Below are 27,679 nucleotides of genomic sequence, written 5' to 3' on the forward strand. Positions count from 1 at the left end.
GATTCAATAGGAGTCACATTTAAGAATTCTGTTAACTCAGAAATGGGACTTTCCCAGACTATCCTGTGTGACCAGATGACTGCTCCCTCTGCTACCCTGGAATGCCCCCACAGAGCAGAGAGGAGAAATGCAAATGTAAAGTTTAATTAAAAATAGCTCCTCAAGAGGTAGATCAACCCTGTTGTTTAATTAAATTGCAGACATTTTGGAAAACAGAATACTTAAGGGCTATATCTTATTTCTCAGGCATCCTTTGTCTGATTTTGGACTCTCCCCAACACAATCCAAAGCTAGCCAGATAGTGGATGTCTTTTTTCTCCCCAAGGAGACTACTCAGTGTTCCACAATTCCATTTACTACTCCTTTTCCAGGCCTTGAGAAACAAGGATTGGGTAGTATTTTCCTCTCCATTCTCTTTTATGTGGCTTCTTCTAGATCTTTGGCACATTTGGGAATGACATCAAAATCTAGCCTTAAAAAGGCAGATCTGGGCTGGGCATGGTGGCTCAGGCCTGTAATCCCAACACTTTGGGAGGCCAAGGAGGGTAGATCACGGGGTCAAGAGATCAGGACCATCCTGGCCAACGTGGTGAAACCCCGTCTCTACTAAAAATACAAAAATTAGCTGGGCGTGGTGGTGCGTGCCTGTAATCCCAGCTACTCGGGAGGCTGAGGAAGGAGAATCACTTGAACCAGGGAGTTGGAGGTTGCAGTGAGCTGAGATCACACCACTGTACTCCAGCTTGGCAACAGAGCGAGACTCTGTCTCAAAAAAAAAAAAAAGTAAATCTGTGCCCACGTGGAGTCAGTCTGTGCCCACGTGGAGCCAGGGTCATTTTGCAGATGTGGAAAGAAAGACAACGGTGGCATTTTCTTTCTTTTTTTTTTTTACTTTATTATTTTATTTTATTTTATTTTTAATTTTTATTTATTTATTTATTTATTTATTGATCATTCTTGGGTGTTTCTCGAAGAGGGGGATTTGGCAGGGTCATAGGACAATAGTGGAGGGAAGGTCAGCAGATAAACAAGTGAACAAAGGTCTCTGGTTTTCCTAGGCAGAGGACCCTGAGGCCTTCTGCAGTGTTTGTGTCCCTGGGTACTTGAGATTAGGGAGTGGTGATGACTCTTAACGAGCATGCTGCCTTCAAGCATCTGTTTAACAAAGCACATCTTGCACCGCCCTTAATCCATTTAACCCTGAGTGGACACAGCACATGTTTCAGAGAGCACAGGGTTGGGGGTAAGGTCACAGATCAACAGGATCCCAAGGCAGAAGAATTTTTCTTAGTACAGAACAAAATGAAAAGTCTTCCATGTCTACTTCTTTCTACACAGACACGGCAACCATCCGATTTCTCAGTCTTTTCCCCACCTTTCCCCCCTTTCTATTCCACAAAACTGCCACTGTCATCATGGCCCGTTCTCAATGAGCCGCTGGGCACACCTCCCAGACGGGGTGGTGGCCGGGCAGAGGGGCTCCTCACTTCCCAGTAGGGGCGGCCGGGCAGAGGCGCCCGGGCAGAGGCGCCCCTCACCTCCCGGACGGGGCAGCTGGCCGGGCGGGGGGCTGACCACCCCCTCACCTCCCTCCCGGACGGGGCGGCTGGCCGGGCAGAGGAGCTCCTCACTTCCCAGTAGGGGCGGCCGGGCAGAGGCGCCCCTCACCTCCCGGACGGGGCGGCTGGCCGGGCGGGGGGCTGACCCCCCCACCTCCCTCCCGGACAGGGCGGCTGTCGGGCGGAGACGCTCCTCACTTCCCAGACGGGGTGGCTGCCGGGCGGAGGGGCTTCTCACTTCTCAGATGGGGCGGCTTCGGGGTGGAGGGGCTCCTCACTTCTCAGATGGGGCGGCCGGGCAGAGACGCTCCTCACCTCCCAGACGGGGTCGCGGCCAGGCAGAGGCGCTCCTCACATCCCAGACCGGGTGGCGGGGCAGAGGCGCTCCCCACATCTCAGACGATGGGCGGCCGGGCAGAGACGCTCCTCACTTCCTAGATGGGATGGCGGCCGGGAAGAGGCGCTCCTCACTTCCTAGATGGGATGGCGGCCGGGCAGAGACGCTCCTCAATTTCCAGACTGGGCAGCCAGGCAGAGGGGCTCCTCACATCCCAGACGATGGGCGGCCAGGCAGAGACGCTCCTCACTTCCCAGACGGGGTGGCGGCCGGGCAGAGGCTGCAATCTCAGCACTTTGGGAGGCCAAGGCAGGCGGCTGGGAGGTAGAGGTTGTAGCGAGCCGAGATCACGCCACTGCACTCCAGCCTGGGCACCATTGGCCACCGAGTGAACGAGACTCCGTCTGCAATCCCGGCACCTCGGGAGGCCGAGGCTGGCGGATCACTCGCGGTTAGGAGCTGGAGACCAGCCCGGCCAACACAGCAAAACCCCGTCTCCACCAAAAAAATACGAAAACCAGTCAGGCGTGGTGGCGCGCGCCTGCAATCGCAGGCACTCGGCAGGCTGAGGCAGGAGAATCAGGCAGGGAGATTGCAGTGAGCCGAGATGGCGGCAGTACAGTCCAGCTTCGGCTCGGCATCAGAGGGAGACCGTGGAAAGAGAGGGAGACCGTGGGGTGAGGGAGACGGAGAGGGAGAGGGAGAGGGAGGGGGAGGGAGAGGGAGAGGGAGAGGGAGAGGGAGGGGGAGGGAGAGGGGGAGGGGGGCATTTTCAAATCCTTGCTTTTGATGTTTCCACCCTTACCATCATGACACTGAGGCAGGCTGAATCCAAAAAGTTAGTCTGTCCTTCTGAATTTAGCAGCACCCTGAGAATTCTTCCTGCTCTCCAGGAGGACCGTTATGCTATCTGGTGATGACTTCCTATTATCTTAGTCCCTTATATAAGATTGTGGTGGCTGGGCATGGTGACTCATGCCTCTAATCCCAGCACTTTGGGAAACCAAGGTGGGTGGATCACTTAAGGTCAGGAGTTCAAGACCAGCCAACATGGTGAAACCCTGTCTCTACTAAAAATACAAAAATTAGCTGTGCATGGTGGTGGGCACCTGTAATCCCAGCTACTCAGGAGGATGAGGCGGGAGAATCACTTGAACCCAGCATGCGGAGGTTGCAGTGAGCCAAGATGATGTCATTGCACTCCAGCCTGGGTGACAGAGTGAGACTCCATCTCAAAAAAAAGAAAAAGATTGTGGCATTGTTAGTCAAAATATGGAGTCAACCTAAATGTCTATCAGTGGATGAATGGATAAAGAAATTGTGATACATAAACACAATGGAATATTATTCAGCCCCCAAATGGGGGAAATCCTGTCGTTTGGAACAACACGGAGGAATCTGAAGGACATTGTGCTTAGTGAAATAAGCCAAGCACAGAAAGACAAATACCACATAATCTCACTTATATGCAGAATATAACAAGGTTGAACTCACAGAAGTAGAGAGTAGAATGGTGGTTACCAGAGGCTGGGGATGGTGTGTGGGGAGGCCGTGAATGGAGAGTTGTTGATTTAAGAGTACAAAGTTTCTTTGTAGACAGGAAAAATAGGTTTTGAGATCTATTGCCTAGCAGGGTGACTATAGTCAATATTAACGTATGTATATTTCAAAATAACTAAGAATAAATTTCAAATGTCTCACCATAAAAAATGATAGGCAAATTTTTTTAAATGATAGGCAAGTGAGATGATGGATATGTTAATTATCTTGATTTAATAATTCCTTATTGAATACATATATCAAAACATCACATTGTACCCCATAAATATACAATTATGATTTTTCAATTGAAAATAATATTAATAATAAAAAAGACTGTGAAATTATTGAGTGCAAAGGACTTAGAGCTCATCTAGACCATGTGTTTTTCAGAAGTGGAAAATGAGACTCTCTGCTTTGAAGTGCCTGCCCGAGTTTGCGGTGGCATGGAATCAGAGTCCAGGTCCTTTACTCCTCTTCCAAAGCGCTTCCATCTTGTGACTTGAAAAAGTTGAGTGCCACTGAAGAGACTGGGATCTGGTGTTAGCCGTACAACAGGGAAAGAGGGGACACAGGAGGCAGATGCTGAGTTACAGACAATTGGAAGAATGGGAAACAAAGTTAGAACCCGCACTTTCACCTATTGAGGACCAGATTTTTCCCACACCTCCAGCAAGTCTCTGCACCTACTACTGAGGAAGGTGGGGAAGGGAGTCAGCAGCATGCATCCCTAAGGTACAGCCCCGAGGGGCTGGGAAATGGAATCCATGCTGCATGGTGGGGGAGAGACCAGGGAAAGATTGTCAGCATGGAAGACCCTTGAAGAAGCCAGACTCAGGGGCTCCATTTGAGGCCTGACAAAGTAAGGCTGGAAGTGCCTGAATAAGACTCGGAGCAGCCAATGACAAATTTTCCTCTCACATTTTGGTCTAGTGCAGGCCCTATTAGAATCATATAATGGAGACTCAGACTGGTGATCTCAGGGTCCAAATAAGAGCCATGCTGAACACAGAATTCTTCCTGGATGTTTAACACCTTGATATTGTAACACACATTGTGGTCCATCTTCTCTTGTGGATATGTGAAAATTTTCACTATCTTCCTACAAAATAGTTTAGCTGTATGGATCTCAATTTATAGACAGAAAAAAAGGAAAAAAATAAAAAGATCAAAGTGGCAAAACAACTTGCCCAAGAACAGAAAATGCTAAAAGCCAATCATGGTCTAGGATTCACAGATATCAAGTTCTTCAATCTAGGATCCTATCCATGAATAAGCCATGGTTTCCAGTGTAATCCAAAAATTGTAACATACTCTGTTCCACTGTTATTGTTTGTGTTACAAAATTAGGATTTTAAAGTATTTTGTAGCATCTGAGCTAAGGCATGTCTTATAATTCAGATTCTTTTTTTCTTTCTTTAACCTATGTCCCGATTGCCCTGAGAATACAATACTGGCAGCAAGCTGCACTTTGTTTTTCTAAACAGGAAATGGGTTAAACGTCCAACCTATCTTCCTGTCTCACTGGCTGCCACTTTCAGTCAGCTTTGCCAACTCCTCCTTCTCTTCAAGCCTCTAAGTGTTGGCCATTCAGAGCACTAGCTATATTCTCTCCCTAGGTGATCTCATCCTGTCTCATGACTTTATAAATTCTCTTGGTCCATTTTGTGTTGCTAGGAAGGAACACCTAAGGCTGGGTAATGTGTATATAGAAAAAGGTTCATTTGGCCTATGATTCTGGGGGCTGGAGAGTTCGAGAATTGGCATCTGCATCTGGTGAGAACCTCAGGCTTTGTCTACTCATGGAGGAAGGTGAAGGGGAGCTGGTGTGTGTAGCAATCACTTGGGGAGAGAGGAGGAAAGAGAGAGTAGGGCAGTGCCAGGCTCTTCTTAACAACTCTTGTGGGAACTAATGGAGTGAAAACTCACTGACCTCTGGGAGAGGGCGTTAATCTATTCATGAGGGATCTGCTCCCATGACCCAAACACCTCTCACTAGGCCCCGCCTTCAACCTTGGTGATCAAACTTCAACATGAGGTTCAGAGGGGACAAACATCCAAACCATAGCTTATGCCTATTGTATATCCAGGATCCCCAAATTTAGCTCTCCAGTCCTTATTTCCTTTCCAAACTCCAGACTTACACCCAACTTTCTACTCCATAGCTCCATGTGCATGGCTCATAGGCCCTTCAAAGTTAACATGTTCCAAAAAGAACTCTTGGTTCCATAGCTACTTCATTCCCCACTCTCAAACCTACTCCTCCCCAATCTTCTCCCTCTTGATAAGCGGCACCACGACTCACCCACTTGCTACAAACCTAAAAGTCTTGCCTGAGTGTTCTTTTTCCTCACACACCCACATTCAGTCTGTCATGAAATTCTGTCAGTTCTACCTTCAAAATACATTCATCATCGTGACCTCTTTCACCGCCTCCACCTCTACCACCCTAGCCCAAGTTCCTGTCATCTTCCAACTGGGCTGACCTTTTTATGGTCTCCAGGAGAGCACTCATGACCTTAGCAATCATTACCCCATACCATATCCAGGGTGGCCAAATACTTAGATCATGTTACTTCCCTACTCAAAAGCCTCCAATAACTTCCCATAGCCCTCAGCATAAAACCTCAGTATTATGGTGTCTCCAGCCCTAGTGATCTCCTTTCCCCTAGTGGGTAGCTCAACTGTGACATCTCCACTTCCCTCCAGTCACACTTGCCTTCTTGCTTGCCTCTCCCGTGGGGGTTCTTAGCCTCTTCTGTGCCATGGACCCCTTCAGCAGTCTGGTAAGCCCTATAGATCTCTCAGAAAGTTTTTATTTTTTATTTTATTATTTTATTATTTTTTGAGCCAGAGTCTCACTCTGTCACCCAGGATGGAGTGCAGTGGCACGATCTTGACTCACTGCAACCTCTGCCTCCTGGGTTCTAGTGATTCTCCTGCCTCAGCCTCTCCAGTAGTTGGGGCTGCAGTCGTGTGCCACCACGCCCGGCTCATTTTTGCATTTTTAGTAGAGATGGGGTTTCGCAGTGTTGGCCAGGCTGGTCTCAAACTCCTGACCTCAAGAGATCCACCCGTCTCGGCCACCCAAAGTGCTGGGATTACAGGCGTAGGCCACCACACCCAGGCCCCTCTCAGAAGGTTTGTTTGTTTGTTTGTTTGTTTGTTTGTTTGTTTTTTGAGACGGAATCTCCCTCTGTCACCCATGTTGGAGTGCAGTGGCACAACCTTGGCTCACTGCAGCCCCTGCCTCCCAGGCTCAAGGACTTCTCCTGCCTCATCCTCCTGAGTAGCTGGGATTACAGGCACACACCATTACACCTGGCTAATTTTTGTATTTTTAGTAGAGATGGGGTTTCACCATGTTGGCCAGGCTGGTCTTGAACTCCTGGCCTCAAGTGATCCATTTGCCTTGGCCTCCCAAAGTTCTGGGATTACAGGCATGAGCCACTGCACCTGCCATCAGAAGGTTTTTAAATGCATAAAATAAAATTCATAAGATGACAAAGGATGAAATATAGTTACAGTATATTAAATTTACAATGAAATATGTATACATATGATGTATACAATGAAAAAGTTACAATGAAATTGTAAATATTTAAATATTAAAAACACATTTGTGTTACAGTAATGAATGTCCTTCTTTATCATCGTGTGAAAGAACAAGATCTAGCAGCAGCTCTAATAACTATCATAATTTGGAAGTTGTGATAAGCACGAAAGATACTTCCAGATACCTGTAACAACTGTAATGTGATGGGAGAGTATCTGTGATTTTCATTGGTGTCAGAGTCACAGATGCTGCTAATATTACTGCAGCATGTTTGACTGCAGTAATTTACTGAAGTAAAAACTAAACTTCAGTTAGCAGTTAGTGAGAATAGAGAAGTAATTTTCTTCCCCATTTAAGTTCAGGGACCTCCTGATTTTATCCATGGACCCCAAGTTAAGACCCTCTGCTTAACATACCAAGCTCATTCCCACCTCTGGACGTTTAGACTTGCTATTCCCTCACTTGGAATGCTCTCCGTCTAGATCTCTGCATAGCTTATTCTTATCTTGCTCAAGCTTCTATCCAAAGGGTGCCTTCCCTCACTACCTGTCCAAAGAAGCACCCCCATTCATCTGTCACGCTCCTTCCCTCCATCTGCTTCCTCTCCCCACCTTACTTACCACTCTTTCAAGTCAGGCTGTTTTGGTGTTTTGTGTTTGTTTACTTGTTTACTGGATTCCTGAAGGTGAACTGCACTGTCTGCCTTGTTCTCCACAGCCCCCCAGCATCTAGAACTGTGCCTGGTACAAGAAAGCACTTAGCAAATATTTGGTGGGATGATGAATGGCTGTAAAAGGATTAAATGATTTAGACTTTTAGATACTTGTAAGTATCTCTCCTGGGAAAAGATGTTTTGTTCCAAATTTCAGTCAAAAAAGGTATGTTTTCACAGGTTGTTAAAATTTTTCAAAATTAATATTTTTAATGGAAAATGTTCCATATTTTATAGTCTTATAGCTATGGGTCATGAACCAGCTTGGGCATGTGCCTCCCCCACCAGAGGACTGAGTGTTAGAGTCCCAGAAGGTTGGTGAACCTTTATCACAATGAGCAGTGTCTTGTTTTGACTACCTCACATGAAAGCATAACAGATTACTTCTAAAAATAGCTATTTTATTTTGAACTTGTTCTTTCCATTTTGAATATGGCCAATCCTGAAAAGGGATTTATTGAATTCACATTATACTTCTCTCAAAAGTAAATAGCATTAAAGAGCAAACACAGTGGTTTATCACATGACGTAGAGGCAAATTAATCCTTTATTGCAAGGTATAATTTAATATTGGACACATTGTGTTTGAGGCACTGGGGGACTTCCTAGTGAGAGCTTGCTAGTCATTAAAAATGTGGGTCTGGAACTCAGGAAAGCAGACTCAGCTTCAGAGACAAATGGGTGTCATTGTTGCACATGTGGTACTGGAGCAATAGTGGTAGGTAGGATTTCTCAGGTGGAACATGTGGAATCAGAGACGGAGCCAAAGTCATCTCCTAAACAGCCCACAGAAGAGGAAAAAAAACAGGAAGGAAGACTTGGAATCAGAAGTACCAAGTCATTCAAGTAGCTACCTAACCAAGTATAAGTTGACTTACTAGTCGCCTAAGGTATGTAATTCCTGACCAGCTCCTGAAGATAAGAAAGAAGAGAGAAAAGTAATACATGTACCATGACCTTTAAAAGAGAGAGAGAGAATTGGATAGAACATAAAACTGACAAACAACATATGAAAAAATGCGAATCATGCCTCATTCGCAAATTATCTTACAAAAGCAGACACCTAAATGGAAGAGTTGGCAAAATGTAGAGCTTGGTAAAGAAAGCCAGAGAAGAAATACTAGGGCAAACCTCAAGTGAATACAGGAATAGCACTGAGAGCTAAAAAGGAAAGTTTTTTTTTTTTTAAAAAAACAACTTATTAAATGCCAAACGGTAGATGTGTCCCTGCTGTACCAAGAAATGTTGGTGTTCCCAGGGCATCTGTGTTAAGTAACTGAAACAAAATGTTTTTCATTCAAACAACTGCATTTTGAACAGAAGACTGAAAACAAAGTAAAGCAAAAAGATTGTAATCCTGAAACAAACCGACATACATATTCTATGAATGTGTAGTAGCAAAACACAGAAGCAGGATAATCATTTAATTGCATTTATGCAAGTGCTTTGACTCTTCATTGTTGGCAAATAAATTGATAAGATTTTTAAATGGCAGAGAGGACAGATCTAGGAAGCATAATGCTTGTTCCTGATCAAAATGAGCTGATTGGAAAATTTTTCAAACATTTTCAAGCAAAACACTTGCATTTAATTCCGTTGAATCTGATGAAGTATGATTGACAGTGGACCAAGAGCCCCGACCACTGTGCTCCCCATCCCCTGATCAAGGCACCACCTTCTCTCACACTCATCTAAGTGGTCCCTGAGAAACCTCCAAGGAAACCCAGGGGTCTGTGCAGCACATTTGAAAACCACTCAATCAAAGAAAGAAGACACAGTGCGTGTAATACACAAGAACAAGAATTCATGCCCAACGTTTTCTTAGTGACTTGATCCAACTTAAATGTATCCACTTACTAAGTGGAAGTGCTTTAAGCACCAGAAGGAAGTCAGCTTGGGACCCTGATTCTAGTTTCAGTATCTCGGCCGCAGCTGCCATCTATGCACACGTTCATTCTAAGCTAGATCTGAGCAATGGCAATGGTTGTAGCCACCCCAGCACACTGGCAGGTAGCAGTGGGGATGAGAAAGAGGTTTGTTGGGCGTTTCCTACTCATTTTCCAGAGAAGATGGGTGGGAAGTCAAGGAGGCAGGTTTCCAGGAGGTTACTGCAGCTTAAGTTTTAGAATCCCTCCCACAAACTCAGTTAATGCGTATCACCAATCCAAAAAGCATTGAAGATTAGCTACTGTGCAAACACTTGAATGCCCTGGAATCTTATGGCTTATATATGAAAGAAATTTGGTAGAGGTTCTCCCGATCCTAAAAGTTTACATATGACCAATAACATGTTGTGAAGCCAAGAAAACTTTTCTAATTATCAATAGTAATAAAAGACAATTTCCCCTCAATCATGCTAGAGGGAAGACTGAATTATTTATGATCGCTATAGGCATTGATAGTACAAAATCATGGTAATGTAAATAAGTGTGCAGCCCCCAAAAATGTAATGAAAAGGCATTTAGGAAGATGTGCCTGGCAGTTTAGCAATAAAAATTATGACAATAGCTGGGCATGGTGGCTCATGCCTGTAATCTCAGCACTTTGGGAGGTTGAGACAGGCGGATCACCTGAGGTTAGGACTTCGAGACCAGCCTGACCAACATGGTGAAACCCCGTTTCTACTAAAAATACAAAAATTAGCTGGGCATGGTGGCGCATGCCTGTAATCCCAGCTACTCAGGAGGCTGAGGCAGGAGAATTGCTTGAACTCAGGAGTCGGAGGTTGCAGTGAACCGAGATTGCACCACTGCACTCCAGCCTGGGCAACAGGGCAAGACTCTGTCTCAAAAAAAAAAAAAAAAAAAAAATTATGATAATATTTTTCTAGGTTTTGTAGTGTTTCTGTTATTGATCAGCTTTTTATATTTTTAAATCTGTTGTGATTTCTTTTCTAATTCTAAAGAAATCACTTTTGTACCTGACTTTGTATTAGGCATTTTGTACTCTTTTTTTTTCTTCTTCGTGTAGTCTTTTTTATTTAAGATGGTGCCAAAAGCCAGGTACAGTGGCTCATGCCTGTAATCCCAGCACTTTGGGAGGCCAAGGCAGGCAGATCACTTGAGGTCAGGAGTTCGAGACCTCCTGGCCAACATGGTAAAACCCTGTCTCTGCTAAATATACAAACATTAGCCGAGTGTGGTGACGGGCACCTGCAGTCCCAGCTACTTGGGAGGCTGAGGCAGGAGAATTGCTCAAACCCAGGAGGTGAAGTTTGCAGTGAGCCAAGATCATGTCACTGCACTCCAGCCTGGGCAATAGGGATAGACTGCATCTCAAAATAAACAAACAAACAAACAAAGATGGTGCCAAAAATTATACAAGCCTCAGGCCTTGCAAAGCCTGGATCTGCATCTGTTTACCTTGGAGGTGCAGTGGGCAGACGACAATTGCTTCTTGGGCACTGTCCTATTCTGCTAGAGTTTGCAGTAATTGAATGTGCAGACTGATGGGGATGGAATGGGGGCTTTCATAGATGAAAAAATCGAGAGACACAAAGTCAGTCTTATTTTAGACCACATTCATAACAAACGTCAAATCGCACCTCCTCCCCTCAAGCCAACTAGATCCTTCAATATCCAATTATCATCATGGACATAAAAGAAGGAAATGTTGAGTATAAAGGGAACCCCACCTTGCATCTAAGCTGGGATTCCACTCTGGACATAAATCATAAACTGCTGGGGTTGGCCTATAAGACATTATTTGCATGAAGAACAGAGAAGCCTTCTGGGAAAGAACTCACCCTAAGGGAAGCAGGAGCTTCACATGAACAGCTTGCCCCTGTCATCTTTGCAAGTTCTACAAAGAGAACATCAGAGCTTGCAAAAATATAGCTTAACTTAGGGTTTATACACTAAAACAAAGAGAGGGGGGAGACAGGGTAACTTTAGTATCCTGAGGGCCCTGCTGCTTTCCACTGCTGTGGTATGAGACAGCAGCACCAGAAGGTATCTGGGGGGAAAAAGAGGCCTAGTGAGCACAGTGATCCCTGTTGGTGATCAGTGGAATGATGAGTGCGTAGCAGGAGTTAATTTGTCCATGAGTATACAGAGACTTGTAGAAATAACACGGGAAGACATATTGCAGAGGACTGAAGAGGTCCTGGCTGAGCTGGTGTGGGCACAAACTAGTGAAATTTGGTTTATTGCTCTAGTAATGACAGGGCAGGGAGTGGGGATGCTCAGGGATAACATAATCAAGAGGACCTGGGTGTTATCTGCCACAAGCTTACTGTGTGACTTTATACCTCTGCTTTCCTCATGTGGAGAAATTTGGTGCAGGTGTCAGACAAATGATCTCTAAGATATCTGCTAGCAGATTCAAATTAATGTTCTCTCTATTTTATCAGAGATTAGATGCAAATGGTTTCAGTCATGCCAACAGCTGGGCTCCCGCAGGCCTGCAGTAAGTGACTTTTAGAAATTATGCACCTACTAATTTCTAGATGAACAAAGTGAATCTCAGAGCAAACAAGCGACTTCTCTGGTGCTACTATTCTCAGAAGCACAATGTAACCAGAATCTGAGGCCGCTGAAGAGCTGGAATTCAAAAAAACAGTGCTTCTGCCAGGACTGCGGGATATGGCAGTGGGGGCAGTGGCTGTAGGGCTCTGTGACCATAGAATGCTGTCAATGATGTCCCTAGAACTGTGCTGTGTGTCACCTGCCCAACCGTATATGGTGGCCCTCCTCTGTCCCCCTTGTCCCTACTCTCAAAATTTAGTTCCAAGTCCCATGACTGGAAGTCCCAGGAAAAGGAAGGGTGGAGGTGCTGGAGCAGTCCTCTGCCCTGCCCACTGCCTTTTCCTCTCCTAGGAATGCATTTTATTTTAAAAAGTTACTTACAGAGCAGAGCTGATGGCTTTCCCAGATGCCCTGCCACCAGACAAGACTGCGCACACTGGGAAAACACAAATGAATTCTCATGCACGCTGGAAAGGTTCAAAATGACAACAGGAAGTTAGAGAATTGTGAGGAAAATGGAAAATCCTTAGGCAATTTATGAAGATGACAGATTGGAATTCTCCAGTCTCTTGCTTCTCTGCCAAGCATAGCTACTGCTAAAGAGAGTAGCACAAAAATGCAGGATGGCCTCTTTCAAGATGGCGGCCTCCAGAAAGCCAGAGTCGCTGCTGGAGAGGCAAGGGAGCAGCCAAAGAGCACCCACAGAAGACAAGGAAGTCAGAGTCCTCGTGGAAAAGCATGCAGCAGAGCACACTTTCTCAAGCACACCCAGACTCATCGACTTCTATTAAAGTTGCCCAAAGCTGTGCGGTGGCTTATGCCTGTAATCTCAGCACTTTGGGAGGCTGAGGTGGGTGGATCACCTTAGGTTAGGAGTTCGAGACTAGCCTGGCCAACATGGTGAAACCCTGTCTCTACTAAAATACAAAAATTAGCCGGACATGATGGCAAGTGCCTGTAATCCCAGCTACTCAGGAGGCTGAGGCAGGAGAATCGCTTGAACTCGGGAGGTGGAGGTTGCAGTGAGCCAAGATGGTGCCACTGTGCTCCAGCCTGGGCGATAGAGCAAGACTCAGTCTCAAAAAAAAAAAAAAAAAAAAAAAAAAAAAAGTTGCCCAAAGCTATGGTAGAAAATGGCCCCAGGATTCTATGGCCCAGCCCATGTCCATGCCAGGGAAATATCATAAATTTGGTATGGAAGCAGAGAATCAAACATGCTTTGAGCTCATCTGCCACATTGTGCCCACATGCTCTTCCTGTGTTTGCCATGGGGTCACACACACAGGCCCCTGCTGCTCACCTTTACAGACCTTTCTCCAGGTGGCTCTTCTGTGTTCTGCTCTGTGCAATGCATGTCCAAGAAGGAACTGACACAGAACAGTCAGATAAACTGATATTTAGACCAGTGCACTTCAGCCTTGGCTACACATTGAACTCATCTGGGGAGCTCTGCAAAAATGCCTAATGCCTGGCTCCTACCCCAGACCAAATAATTCAGCATGTCAGGCTGGAATACTGGCATTTGCTAAGAGCTGGTGCAGGTGGAAGCATCTGCCAACTCTGAGAGCTAAATCAGTGATTCTTAAACTTTGCTCAAATATAAAAAACTCTTTCCTTTGAATTTTAACTCTTTAGGACCCCAACATTCTGGTCACATATTTTGGGGGAGCTTTAAAAAAGCCCAGTGTTCAGATTGTACCCCATATCGATTAAATCAGAATTTCTGGAGATGGGAACCAGGCATCAGTATTTTAAAAAATTTCTCAGATACTTCAAAAGTTCAGCCAAATTGGGAACCAATGAGTTAAATGATAACAGTCTAGTTCAAACAGTAGGATCTCGGTGTGTGGCGGTTGAGGAGGTTGGGAAAGGGGACCTACCTTCCAAGCTAGGAATAAGAAATCAACAGAGTTTGGCAGGAGGCTGGTTGGTTGTATTAGCAAATCTAAAGATAGAACATGTCAACCAAAGCGGGATGTCTGCATGGAACAGGGAAAGTGGGAGTCAGAGAGGAAGGTCTAGCCAAGGGGGCAGTGCATGGGTGACCTCATGGGAACATCCAGTCCTATCTGTTTGGCAGGTCTGTCCCCAAAGAAGAGATGAAGGGACAAGCTTAAGAAAATTTGGCACCTGGCTGGGTACGGTGGCTCACGCCTGTAATCCCAGCACTTAGGGAGGCTGAGGCGGGTGGATCATTTTTGAGGTCAGGAGTTCAAGACCAGCCTGGCCAACATGATGAAACCCTATTAGTACTAAAGATACAAAAAATAAGCCAGGTGTGGCTACAGGCACCTGTAATCCCAGCTACTCAGGAGACTGAGGCAGAAGAATTGCATGAACCCAAGAGGTGGAGGTTGCAGTAAGCCAAGACCGTGCCATTGCACTCCAGATCCAGCCTGAGTGCCAGAGTGAGACTCTGTCTAAAAAGAAAAAGAAAAAAAAGACACCCTTTGACATTAAACCTTCCTTCTAATATCCCCTGCTCAGCCTGTGCTCAAGCGGCATTCTCATTACCATTTGTCTTCCTTTTAGTTTTCTACTGGGAAAGAACATGTTAGTCAAGGTGACACAAATGTCCACTCAGCTTAGAAGTTCTTATTTCTTGTTGCAAATTAATAAATTGTCATTTTGGTTTAGATAGCCGCTTCCTGAGAGCTTGAGTGATGTGGATCTGTCCCTGAGAACCTGACTCACTCTAGCAGGTTGAAACAGTCTAGTTTCCAAACCTGCAGATTAGTTTCACCAAAGTGGCACCATTTCAAAATTCCTGGGGCTTAGCACAGAGTGTTTTTCATGATCCACCAAATTGGGAGCTCCTGGAAGACGCTGGTCAGTGTTTGATTCTTCTGTGTATCACCAATACCACCTTAATTCCAAGACACCATAGGCAAGGATGATAGTCTGAATATATACATCCATGTCAGCAGCACGGCTGTTTCTGTACAATGCCAGCCCCAGTGCTGGAGCAGAGTCCTGGAGGCCACCATAGAGCCAGGTGCTAATGCTGGTCTTACGGAATTCAGGGGGTCCTGGGGAAGAGATTGCTATGTCTGCAGCAGAGGAAGGCACTGGCGAGGTTCAAGGTAGAGACGTTTTGCCAATCAGCACAGAAGTATTTTGATATTTTAGAAATTAGTAGATACAGCCATACTGGTGCATGACAGCTGAATATCAGCTGTTTGTAGGTAACACGTATTTGTTGATTCGATGAGTACCCCCCACTAAAGCATCCTTCTTATGGCTGGTGGCACTCCTCCATCTGCCTTCCCACAAAATGCCAAAGACTTTCCTGCCCAGGGCTCCTTGACCCATGAGAGAATGTGACTAAGTATGGTCTTAGCTTCACATCACATATCCTGGGGAGCTGGTGGTTCTGGTGGCTGGGACCTGAGGAGCGAGAAGAAAAGGAGTGTGGGCTGGGCCGGGGGCGGTGGCTCACACCTGTAATCCCAGCACTTTGTGAGGCTGAGGCAGGTGGATCATCTGAGGCCAGGAGTTCAAGATCAGCCTGGCCAACATGGTGAAACCCAGTCTCTACTAAAAATACAAAAAATTAGCCAGGCGTGGTGCTGGACACCTATAATCCCAGCTACTTAGGAGGCTGAGGCAGGAGAATCGCTTGAACCCCGGAGGTGGAGGTTGCAGTGAGCTGAGATCATGCCACGGCACTCCAGCATGGACAACAAGGCGAAACTGCATCTCAAAAAAAAAAAGAAAGAAAGAAAGAAAGAAAGAAAGAAAGAAAGAAAGAAAGAAAGAAAGAAAGAAAGAAAGAAAGAAAAAGAAAAGGAGTGTGGCCTCCTCACAGGACTAAGAATATAATGCATAGACCTGCTTTCGCTTTAATTTAAAAAGAAGGTACTAAAGCCCCATGTCTTTTGCAGCTATGGAATCCTTTGACAAAATTAGTTTTCTTTGTTGTGTTCTAATTTGAAAGCAAAAACAAAACAAAACAAAACAAAGCCATTCGTCTAATAATATTTGTGGCAAGGGAGCTTGATTAGATGAGAACAAAACTTCTGGTCCCCTTTAAAGTGGCATCTACTATGATGCCAACAAAGCAACTGTCTAAGAATTGCCTTCTTTAGCATTCTGCACTAACTCTTTACTGCATTTGATATTCTGCCACAAGTGATGGCTGAGGGACATCGTCACTGGGGGAGGTTGCTGAAGAACACTTGTTTACCATGTCATTCCTGCTTTGTCATTCTGGTGGTGGCTTGTCCATCACCCTCCTCACAGCACTTTAAAGGCACATGTGCAGTCAGTGAAATAGACAGATCTAAAGAGTCTTTTATGGTTAATGGTGCTGTTATTGTGAAATATGAATGCTGTAGATGTCAGTTGATAGTTTATCATGCTGTCCACAGTTTTGGCATTTTAGACCTTTCCCCCAATATTTTACTTTCCCCCTGTTTCCCAATCCCCACCCTCTTAAATTTTAGTAAACTGTATATTGTCATGCTATTGAGAAATCTAGTCTGGAAATCGTTTGGGATTTTTTTAGCTGGAGTTTCGCTGTCATCCAGGCTGGAGTGCAGTGGCCCGATCTCAGCTCACTGCAACCTCTGCCTCCCAGGTTCAAGCAATTCTCCTGCCTCAGTCTCCTGAGTAGCTGGGATTACAGGCTCCTACCACCATACCCGGCTGATTTTGTATTTTTAGTAGAGATGGGGGTTTCACCATATTGGTCAGGCTGGCCTTGAACTCCTGATCTCAAGTAATCCACCTGCCTCAGCCTTCCAAAGTGCTGGGATTACAGGCATGAGCCACCGCACCTGGCCTGGAGATGTATTTAGAGAAGGCTGTTGTTCCTTCTAAAATCGTTTATATTCTCACTAATACATATATTATCTCATAGCTTCTGAGTATGTACAGTTAGAATAAGGGTTATTTGGTACCAGCTAGTGATAAAGAGATGTCTAAACAGATAGATGGATGCCTATCCTGTTATAGTAGCAAAATATATCTAGACCAATTCTGATGATGGCTGCGATGGCAAAGCATTTGTTTCAAAGTTATTATTTTGGTGTCATCTTTTGGACATCTCAGAAAGCTCTCGGCTGAGCTAGAAACAGAGTTTCATTATTCAAAAGGAAAAATCTATTACATCTTGTGAGCCCAGAGTGAAAACAGCACGTGAACTCAGGGCTGCCAGCAGACCCTCGTGCCAGCTGGTTCAATGGGCAGAAGTGAGAATGTTAATAAACACTCTAATGAAAGGAAGTTGTTGGATAGTAATTAACATATGCCATTAGTATCTGTCCCTTTGGCCAGACACGGCAGACAGGCTGAAACCATACATACAAATGAGTGTCTGCTAGGACTGTGCACTGTGCGCGGAAGAAAGGGGGACAGTGTCATTGTGAGCGACTGGTGTTGTCAGCAGCTTTAAATCACAGGGCCACTGAGTAACAAAAACAGGGAAGGCTTTTGTGTTTTGGAACAATTGGGTGGCTTACAATTTAAAATACTTAATAAACTTATTTTTATTCTCACTTACTTTCCTTTTACCTCAAAACCTTCTGTTTATAGTTTTGTTTTGTTAAGAAAAATACTGATTTAGCTTTTTTTTCCTAATCAGTGAGTGAAGGATGCAACTCAGGGCTTTTTATTTTTAAACCACAATTTCCTCATCTCGCCAGGAAGAGAGGTGACTACCTGTTTCTCAGGGGCATCCCAATAGTCATATTTCTCAAGATCTACATTATTCCTTTCTGGTTGATCTAAAATGGGTTAGAAATCATACCAGCTACTCCCAAATACTGCCTCTCACAATACAGTTGAAAATCAGGACTGCAAACACCGAGCTCAGTCGGCTTCAATGGCTTCTTTTTGCCAATGGGAAACTGAGGCCCCGAAAGGCGAACTTATGGTCCCTAAATCATAGACCTGGTCTGCTGACCATTGTTAAGCCTTCTCCCATCCTAGGCCACACTGTTGCATTGACTGCTTCTTTCTTACTTTGACAATGACCAATTCCATACTACTTTGCTGAGAAAAAAAAAGAGACACTAAAAAGAGACCACACCACATTTGGATCTTCTTCATGTATGTTGATTTGCTGATAGCACACACAACATTTTAAGCATTTTAAATCCAACCTTTTAAAGATACTGGAAACAGTGCAGCTTGGTGCCATTTGGTTGTATGATGTCATGAGAAGTTAAAACTAGAAAATCTAGCAGGAACAAAGGACCAGCAGAAAAATAAAAGAATTATTAATAGAGATCAGAAAGATACAGCAAAATATAAGTTGACAAAGAAGACTGGCACCACAATAAGTAGGTAGAAGCCTTTGGAAGTGTCTAATGTGTACTTTAACATATAATTTTCCTATTATAAATTAATATGAATAATTGAATTTGGGCATCTGCGAATAATTAAAGTTGGCTAACGTTTCTCTTTGTGTTATCTTCGAAGAACTTGTTAAACCATTAAAGAATAAACAAGGCAGTCCGGGTGTGGTGGCTCACGCCTGTAATCCCAGCACTTTGGGAGGCCGAGGCAGACGGATCACGAGGTCAGGAGATCGAGACCATCCTGGCTAACATGTTGAAACCTCGTCTCTACTAAAAATAGCCAGGCACGGTGGTGTGCGCCTGTAGTCCCAGCTACTCGGGAGGCTGAGGCAAAAGAATTGCATAAACCCAGGAAGCAGAGGCTCCAGTGAGCCGAGATCGCACCACTGCACTCCAGCCTGGACAACAGAGCAAGACTCCATCTCAAAAAAAAAAAAAAAAAGAATAAACAAGGCTGGGTGCGGTGACTCACCCCTGTAATCCCAGCACTTTGGGAGGCCAAGGCAGGCAGATCTCCTGAGGTCAGGAGTTCCAGACCAGCCTGGCCAACATGGTGAAACCCCATATCTACTAAAAATACAAAAATTAGCTGGTAGTGGTGGCACACGCCTGTAATCCCAGCTACTCAGGAGGCTGAGGCAGGAGAATCGCTTTAACCTGGGAGGCAGAGGTTGCAGTGAGCCGAAATCATGCCTCTGCACTCCAGCCTGGGCAACAGAGTGAGACTGTCTCAAAAATAAAATAAAATAAAATAAACAAAAATATAGACAAATTAACCTACTTAAGACAACAAAATAACTTTCAAGCATTATTCAGGCTTTTTAAAAAAATGCTTCCTTTAAATGGGTAGCATCTACTTGCTAAAACAGACCCAGAAAAAAACCTTTATTTGTATCTTTTCACTAATGGTTAGTTTACCTTCCAACTTAATTGAAAAATAAAGGGCTCTATTTGTTGACAGATTAAAACTACTTCTGTTTAAGAACATTCTGTGGGTGGGGATGGCCAGTCTCATGCTGCCATGTTGTTCTCCTCATTCACTGCACCTTGAGAAACTCTTAGCCATCAAGGAGATCTCCACAGAAGAGAAGGCAATTCATGGCCAACAGAAGTTGCTGTGGGCCTTCGGGAACCTTCAAACTGGCCCTCAAGGTCCATTTCAGGCAACTCAAGCTTTTCTCTGAACAAGTTAGCCTTCCTCTCAGCTGGTAGCATTGTTTATTCAATCATTTACCTCTTCAAAGAACTTATATTGAGCACCTTTTAGTGTCGGATGCAGTGCCTGCCAATGGGCCTCCATCTTTGAACGTGGCAGAATGGGCACCCTTAATGTAGTTTCTGCTGTTTTCTGTGCTTGCCCCTTTGTCAGATTCTGTATCAGGTTATAACATGAACAAGGGTTAGTTTTTTGCCTTGGAAAAAGGACAAAGGACCAATAAAAAGAGAAAGGATTTCATATTCACTTAAACTATAAATTTGGGGGCCTCACAATGCCCCACACAGCTCTTGGTAGAGAGCCTGTATCCATTCAAAGATTCATGAACAGGAACATGAATGTTAAGTGTGTATAAAGACCCTGGAGATCATCTGGTGCAACCCTTTGGTTTTACAGATGAGGACACTGAAGCACCGAGAAGGAAACAGAAGATTCAGGACAAAGCCAGCTCTGTCTCCTGTACCAACCTTGCATGAAAAACAACCAAGGAAATCTTGCTTTGAGCAGAAACGATTTGCGAGTCAATACATATGTACTGGGAGGAAAGATGAACTGAGATGACTCTACCTAAAAGACAGAATGCCAAGGAACAACTTAAGGATATCCTGCAAAACTTATTATCAATACTTATTTAGAAAAAGTCCCGACTAGGTGTCCTTATAGAGGTTCAAATGTGAGTAGGACACATGCACGGCCAGGGAGGCCTGGATTATAGGTGGCCACCAATTCCAGCCTACACTGCCAGGTGACTCTTGAATCCTTCCCTGAAGATGTTTCTAACAGGAGGGAAATCCATTTGTCCCCTATCAAAGAGCAATGATGACCAGGCAGGTGGCTGGTCCTTCCTGAGGCTCTGTTAATGTGGGGTCCGTTTTGACAAACTCATATTCACATCAATAGAGGGCAGGTCCCCAAAGAGGACAGTGGCTCCAGCTCTCTGTGGCCCACTGACAGCTCCTCTTTGGGTTTTGGAGGCCCCCTGTATGTTTACTGCAATCCTGACAGACTTCTGCCCAGGGAACTTCCTCTTTCTTTTAGTGATTTTGCTGTTATTGTTGTTTTTAATTGCAAAAATAATATGCAGTTATTAAAACAAATTCAAATAACACAGAAATATAAGTAAAAACTGAACATTATTTCTCCCTTTCCCACACTTTGTGCTTCCCCTCCAATTCCTTTCTTTGTGGGTAACTATAATGTACAAATTCAAGCCAGGCGCAGTGGTTCAAACCTGTAATCCCAGCACTTTGGGAGATTGAGGCAGGTGGATTGCTTCAGGTTAGGAGCTCGAGACCAGCCTTGCCAATATAGTGAAACCCTGTCTCTACTAAAAATACAAAAAAATTAGCTGGGTGCGGTGGCAGGCACCTGTAATCCCAGCTACTAAGGAGGCTGAGGCAGGAGAATCACTTGAACCCAGGAGGTGGAGGTTGCAGTGAGCCGAGACAGCACCATTGCACTCCAGCCTGGGCAACAAGAGTGAAACTCTGTCTCAAAAAAATAATAATAATAAAATAAATATAATGTACGAATTCTTCCAAAAGAAAATATGTAGTGTATTTTTATATAAATATTTATATAGCAAATATTTATGTATATTATATATTTTATATCATAATATATATAATTATATAGCTATATTAATATATATTATATTTTTTACACATATATACTATATATGTATATATAGACAATTTATATTTTTAATTTACATGTATGTGCACTTATACAGAAAGTTTTTATCAACACAAATTATATACCAAATGCGTTGTTTCATAACTTGCTTTTCTTACCAAATAAACTACATATTATGCTTATTTTCCCATGATGGTACAATGTGTTACAGGTATGGATATGCACCAATTTATTTAATGAGTGCCCAACTCATGAGCATTTAGGTTGTTTTCTTTATTTTTGTAAATAACCTTCTATTACTATTAGGTAACTTGCTTAACATTCTCTCCATCCCCCGCTTTAAGCTCAGTTATATAAATGTGCCACCATATCTCAATCCTATTATGAACATAACACTTGATTCTGTACCAGTTAAGTAACTACTGTACCAAATGAGGGGATGAATATGAGGTTTAAAATGTCACAAAATCAAAAGATATTAAAGGTTTACACACCATTTGTTACCTGTGGGTTTGTCTAATGTTTTGGTCTATTTTCTTTCCCAGCCTAGCTGCTACACTTTACCTATATTGCCTGCCTGCCTTCCTTCCTTCCTTCCTAACTTCCTAACTTCCTAACTTCCTTCCTTCCTTCCCGCCCTTTTCTTGCTTTCTTTCCTTCCTTCCCTCCCTTTTCTCTCTTTCTCTCTCTCTCTCTTTCTCTTTCTTTCTTTTTCTTTCTTTCTTTCCTTCTTTCTTTCTTTCTTTCTTTCTTTCTCTTTCTTTCTTGCTTGCTTGCTTCCTTCCTTCTTTCCTTCCTTCCTTCCCTTCCCTTTCCCTTCCTTCCTTCCTCCCTTCCTTCCTTCCTCTCTCTCTCTCTCCCTCTCTCTTTCTTTCTCTCTTTCTCTCTTTGAGATGGGGGTCCCCACTCTGTCATCCAGGCTAGGCTAGAATGCAGTGGCACAATCATGGCTTGCTGCAGCCTCAGCCTCCCCAAGGTCAGGTAATCCTCCCACCTCAGCCTCCCAAGTAGCTGAGACTACAGGAACATGCTACTGTACTTGGCTAAATTGTGTGTGTGTGTGTGTGTGTGTGTGTGTGTGTGTGTGTGTGTGTGTGTGTGTGTGTGTGTTTGGTGGAGACAGGGTTTCACTATGCTGCCCAGGCTGGTCTTGAACTCCTGGGTTCAAGCCATCCTCCCACCTTGGCCTCCCAAAGTGCTAGGATTACAGGTGTAAACCACCGAACCCAGCATTATATTTTCATTTAAAAATTAAGATTTTTGATGATAAGAAAGAAAAACCAAGTCCACAGGATTTGCCTGGTTACACATCTCAGTGAAGATGTGAGTGGCAGAGAAGATGCTGCTGAGCTCTGTCCAGGGCCTGCCTCACAGTGGACTCTCCATAAATATTAAACCACAGAGGCTGAGCTGAGCTGCAAAGAGAACATGTGTCTGTCAGACCTCCATGAGTCACCTGCTTTGTGCAAAGCCCTGAAGATTTCCCAAAAGGAATCAGACAGTCTCTGCCCTCTAGAACCGTGGTTGTAGGAGAAGAGATAAACACAAAACACCACCTAAAATATGGCAAGATGAAGTGGGTGCAATGGAAGAAACAGCGAAGGGCAGGGGTAGGGGACAGGAAAGCTTTGCATTGAAAAGGGAAGTCACAAGAATATGTGTTTGAACCAAGCATTGAGCAGAATTTTGATGGTGGTGTGAATGGTGGAGAGAGGAATTTCAGGTTAAGGAATAAGTACACGGTTGCCGAATATGGATAAATGTTTAGGGAGTGGCAAACTGTGAATGATACACTATATCTAGAAACCAGAGGGACCTTGTTTGAGATCAGAAAGACACTTGGAGCCAGATTGTGGCCTGGAATGGAAGTCCAAGGAGTTTCTGGGTCACTAGATAGGCAGTGGTGTTCCTTGCAGGTTTAGGAATGTGGTCTGTTCCATGGTTTGGGAAGATAATCTAAGATGGATTATTATTATTATTATTATCATTATTATTAGAGACAGAGTCTCACTCTGTCACCTGAGCTGGAGAGCAGTGGCACAATCTTGGCTCTCAGCAACCTCTGCCTCCCAGGCTCAAGCAATCCTCCCGCCTCAGCCTCCTGAGTAGCTGAGATTACAGGCACTATGCCTGGCTAATTTTTGTATTTTTTATAGAGACGGGGGTTTCACCACGTTGCCCAGGCTGGTCTTAAACTGCTGAGCTCAAGTGATCCGCCTGCCTTGGCCTCCCAAAGTGTTGTGATTACATACGTGAGGATGGATTATTAAGGAACATAAAAGATTGAAGATTTTTTTAATCAAAAGACTGGGGGTAGGAGAGCAATGATGTGCTAGCTTTGGTCCTCTGTTGATGTCAGGGTTGATGTCCCGAACACCTGAGTTCGGGAGTTCGAGACCAGCCTGACCAACATGGTGAAACCCCATCTCTACTAAAAATACAAAAGTTAGGTGGGCATAATAGCGGGCATCAGCTACTTGGGAGGCTGAGGCAGGAGAATTGCTTGAACCTGGGAAGCGGAGCTTGCAGTGAGCCGAGATGGTGCCATTGCACTCCAGCCTGGGCGACAGAGTGAGACTGTCTCAAAAAAAAAAAAAAGAAAGAAATACATTGGTTTGGTCCAGAGAGACGGGACAACTCAAAAGGGAGGTGGTTGGGGAGCTTCCAGGCTACAGGTACATTTAAACATTTTCTGGTTGACAATTGGTTGAGTTTGTCTAAAGACCTGGGATTGATAGAAAGGGAATGTTCAGGTTAAGATAGCAGATTGTGGAGACCAAAGTTCTTTTGAAGTCTTATAGTGGCTGCCTTTAGAGACAATAGATGACAAATGTTTCCTATTCAGATCTTAATCTCTTAAGGATTGGGAGGGCCTGGAAGTAAAAGATCTGGCTATGTTAATAGAGATTCTTTACAGATGCAAGTATTCCTCCACAATGGACGGCTTTGCAGGACCATTTCAAAATATGGCAAAGAAACATGTTTTGGGGTAAAATATTTTTATTTTCTTCATCGTCTCGTAATGTTTTGCCAGAGTCAGGGTGAGTTAAATAAAACCCATCTGATGAGAACTTATGATTTGTAGGGCATGACTCCCCAGACCGCTTAGATAGGAATTTGGGCAAGAAAAAAAAAATCAGAGTTTAGTCCTCACCTCTTAAAAACAAAATTGGTCTCGTGCAGCACCTTCCAAACACACAAGACATAAGGAATGTCTGGCGCTGCCACCAAGAAAATGAAAACATGGCATAATTTGGAGAGTGCTTATAGAAGGTGTGTGAACTGGGGAAAAAAAGACATTTTTGATCTGTTTTCATATTGTTAAATGCCTAGTCTTTGCAGTGTCACCATTCCTCTTTATGTGCCATAGTTATTTTTCTAGAATTTCATAATAATGATCTTTGAAATTGTTATCTGTTTTTTACAGTTACATGCCAATAGGTAAGAATCTCCCTATAATTTCTAGTTGTCTTATCCCAAATTCAGCCAGAATCAAACTATATCTGCAGTCTCAGTTCTCTTACCCTTCAATATTGAGTGCTAACCAGCATTTCATATGCATTGTCTAATTTTAATCTCCACGACAGTTACAAGGAAGGTACCATTCATTCATTCAGTCATCAAATATTTGAGTCCCTACTAACAGGCAGGCACTGGAGATGCAATGATTTTGAAAATGACAAGCCAGGCACGGTGGCTCAGGCCTGTAATCCCAGCACTTTGGGGGGCCGAGGCAGGTGGATCACCTGAGGTCAGGAGTTCAAGACCAGCCTGGCCAACATGATGAAACCCCATCACTACTAAAAATACACTAAAGAATATACGGTAGACAGGAATTCTTTGTGTTGCTTAATTACCTCCATGGACCTTTGGTGGCAATTTCTAGAAAATTTACGAATTTTTTGGGTTAGTGTCTAGCATTTGGAATGTACTTTATGTTGTGATTGGACTGAGGCTGTTATGCAGAGAAACACTTCCATGTTTCTTATCTTTTTTAAAACTATTTACTTTTGTATAATTTTAGACTTACAAAAAGTTGCAAAAATAGTCCAGAGAGTTCCCATATAGTCTTCACCCAGTTTCCCCAAATGTTACTGTCCTGTATAACCATGATGCAATTAGCAAAATTTAAAAATTAACATTGCTTCAATATTGTTAACTAAACTATGGATTCTAATTAGGTTTTCCCAATTTTTTTTGCTAATTTCCTTTTTCTTTTCTTTTTTTTTTTTTTTTTTTGAGGCAGTATCTCACTCTGTTGTCCAGGCTGGAGTGCAATGGCACAATCTCAGCTCACTGCAACCTCTGCCTCCCATTCAAGTGATTCTCCTGCCTCAGCCTCCCAAGTAGCTGGAACTACAGGCACACGCCACCATACCCAGCTAATTTTTTTATTTTTAGTAGAAATGGAGTTTCACCATGTTGGCCAGGCTGGTCTTGAACTCCTGACCTCAGGTGATCCACCCGCCTTGGCCTCCCAAAGTGCTGGGATTATAGGCTGAGTCACCACGTCCCGCCTGCTAATCTCCTTTTTCTGTTCCAGCACCCACATTGTAACTAGCTGGCATGTCTCCTTAGTCTCTTTTAGTCTGTTACAGTTTCTTGGTCTTTCCTTGTATTTTGTGACCTTGACAGTTTTGAAGACTACAAATCAGGGATGTTGGAGAATGTCCCTCAATTTGGGTTTGTTTGATATATTCTCCTGATTAGTTTGGGGCTATAGACTTGGGGGAAGAATACCACAGGTGGGGTCTCTTGTCAGGGGATTGTACCAGGGGATACATAATATCAGTATGTCTTATTACCAGTGATGTTAACAGTGATTATTTGATTAAGGTGACATCTGCCGGGTTTCCCTAACATCCTGTTTCTTCTTAAACTCTCACCCACCTGTTTAACATTCATAAGTGGTTCTTGTCTGTTGCAATGATTACCGTGGTGTTCTAATAGTTTTAATGATTTCCTTTTTTTTTTTTTTTTTTTTTTTGAGGCAGAGTCTCGCTCTGTCGCCCAGGCTGGATGGAGTGCAGTGGCGCAATCTCGGCTCACTGCAAGCTCCGCCTCCCGGGTTCACGCCATTCTCCCGCCTCAGCCTCCTGAGTAGCTGGGACTACAGGCGCCCACACCACGTCCGGCTAATTTTTTGTATTTTTAGTAGAGACGGGTTTCACCGTGTTAGCGAGGATAGTCTCCATCTCCTGACCTCGTGATCCGCCTGCCTCGACCTCCCAAAGTGCTGGGATTACAGGCGTGAGCTACTGCGCCCAGCCTCCTTTGTTTCTTCTACATTGAGTAATTTGAATTCTGGAAGGAACAATTGTCCTTCTCTTCCATTTATTCATTTACATCACTATAGACTCATGGATATTGTTGCTCAAATTGTTCCAGCTTTGGTTAGTCCAAGTTCTTTTAGGTTTCAACAAGCCCTCATCCTGTTTTTTTTGAGCTTCCTTATTTTTATTGTACCACAAGATGCTTCAGGCTTATTTTGTATTTTTCCTGTCCTGGAATCAACCACTTTTTTAAGGAGCCCTATTTCCTTTTATTGGAGAATGGTATTTAGAAACCAAGATCTGGGTGGGAGGTGACTCATTAGTACTGGAGTGTCACCATTTCTAGGTCCTTTCAGGGAACAGAGCTAGGAAATATTGTTTGTATACTAACCCAGGCAGACATGCACATCTGTATTTACTTCTGTATATCTCTACCTCAGTAGATCCTAACCTGGAGCAATTTTGCCCACCCCCAGGGGATATTTGGCAATCTATGGAGACATTTTGGGGCATCACAACTCAAAGGGAAGATATTACTAGTATCTACTGTGTAGAGGCCAGGGATGCTGTTAACCATCCTACAATGCAGAGGAGGGGTCCCACCAGCAAAGAAGAATCCAGCCCAAATGTCCATAGTGCCAAAGTTGAAAAGCCCTGATCTATCTGTATATTTATTAAAAACACACAAAACACATATGAATTCATACTGATAACTCGCACTCAACCCAGCTGAACAGGGTGCTTTATTCTAGCATTCTTCCTTTGCTTTTTTGTAACTTCTTTCTCCAGTAAGAAACCTGGCTAACAATATCTACAATACAGTTCCTTATTTGTTCAACTCTAGTATACAGATCGTTTCAAAATTGCTGCTTCATACTCTGTGAGAGACAAATTTACTTACTAGAATATAGTGTTTGTGTCCAGTTCTTTTTTGTCTTTAGCCTTACAGTATCCACTCAAAACACTGTTTTGAGGCCAGGCACAGTGGCTCACGCCTGTAATCCCAGCACTTTGGGAGGCCAAGGCAGGCAGATTACCTGAGGTCAGGAGTTCAAGACTAGCCTGGCCAACATGGTGAAACCCT

General features: G+C 43.9%; 2 long non-coding RNA genes across 2 annotated transcripts in view, besides 1 other annotated feature; one reads left to right on the forward strand and one right to left on the reverse strand.

Annotated features, from left to right (window-relative positions):
- The window catches only part of LINC00407 (long intergenic non-protein coding RNA 407), a 60,648-nt gene extending 40,468 nt beyond the window's left edge, over positions 1–20,180 (forward strand). Inside the window, exon 4 of the long non-coding RNA NR_149082.1 lies at positions 20,084–20,180. This is a non-coding gene — a long non-coding RNA (long intergenic non-protein coding RNA 407). The remainder of the gene's footprint in view (positions 1–20,083) is intronic.
- Positions 3,651–27,679, reverse strand: part of LOC105370185 (uncharacterized) — a 39,691-nt gene continuing 15,662 nt past the window's right edge. The window contains exon 3 of the long non-coding RNA XR_941929.4: positions 3,651–4,020. This is a non-coding gene — a long non-coding RNA (uncharacterized LOC105370185). The remainder of the gene's footprint in view (positions 4,021–27,679) is intronic.
- Positions 23,784–24,568: an enhancer, noted in NCBI's record as "OCT4-NANOG hESC enhancer chr13:45278756-45279540 (GRCh37/hg19 assembly coordinates)". NCBI's record gives its function as "activates a minimal SCP1, AML or CMV promoter by ChIP-STARR-seq in naive H9 embryonic stem cells {active_cell/tissue: H9 hESC(naive)}" and the evidence as "EXISTENCE:reporter gene assay evidence [ECO:0000049][PMID:30033119]".

The sequence above is a fragment of the Homo sapiens genome, chromosome 13 (assembly GCF_000001405.40).
Source record: "Homo sapiens chromosome 13, GRCh38.p14 Primary Assembly".
Taxonomy (NCBI): domain Eukaryota; kingdom Metazoa; phylum Chordata; class Mammalia; order Primates; family Hominidae; genus Homo; species Homo sapiens.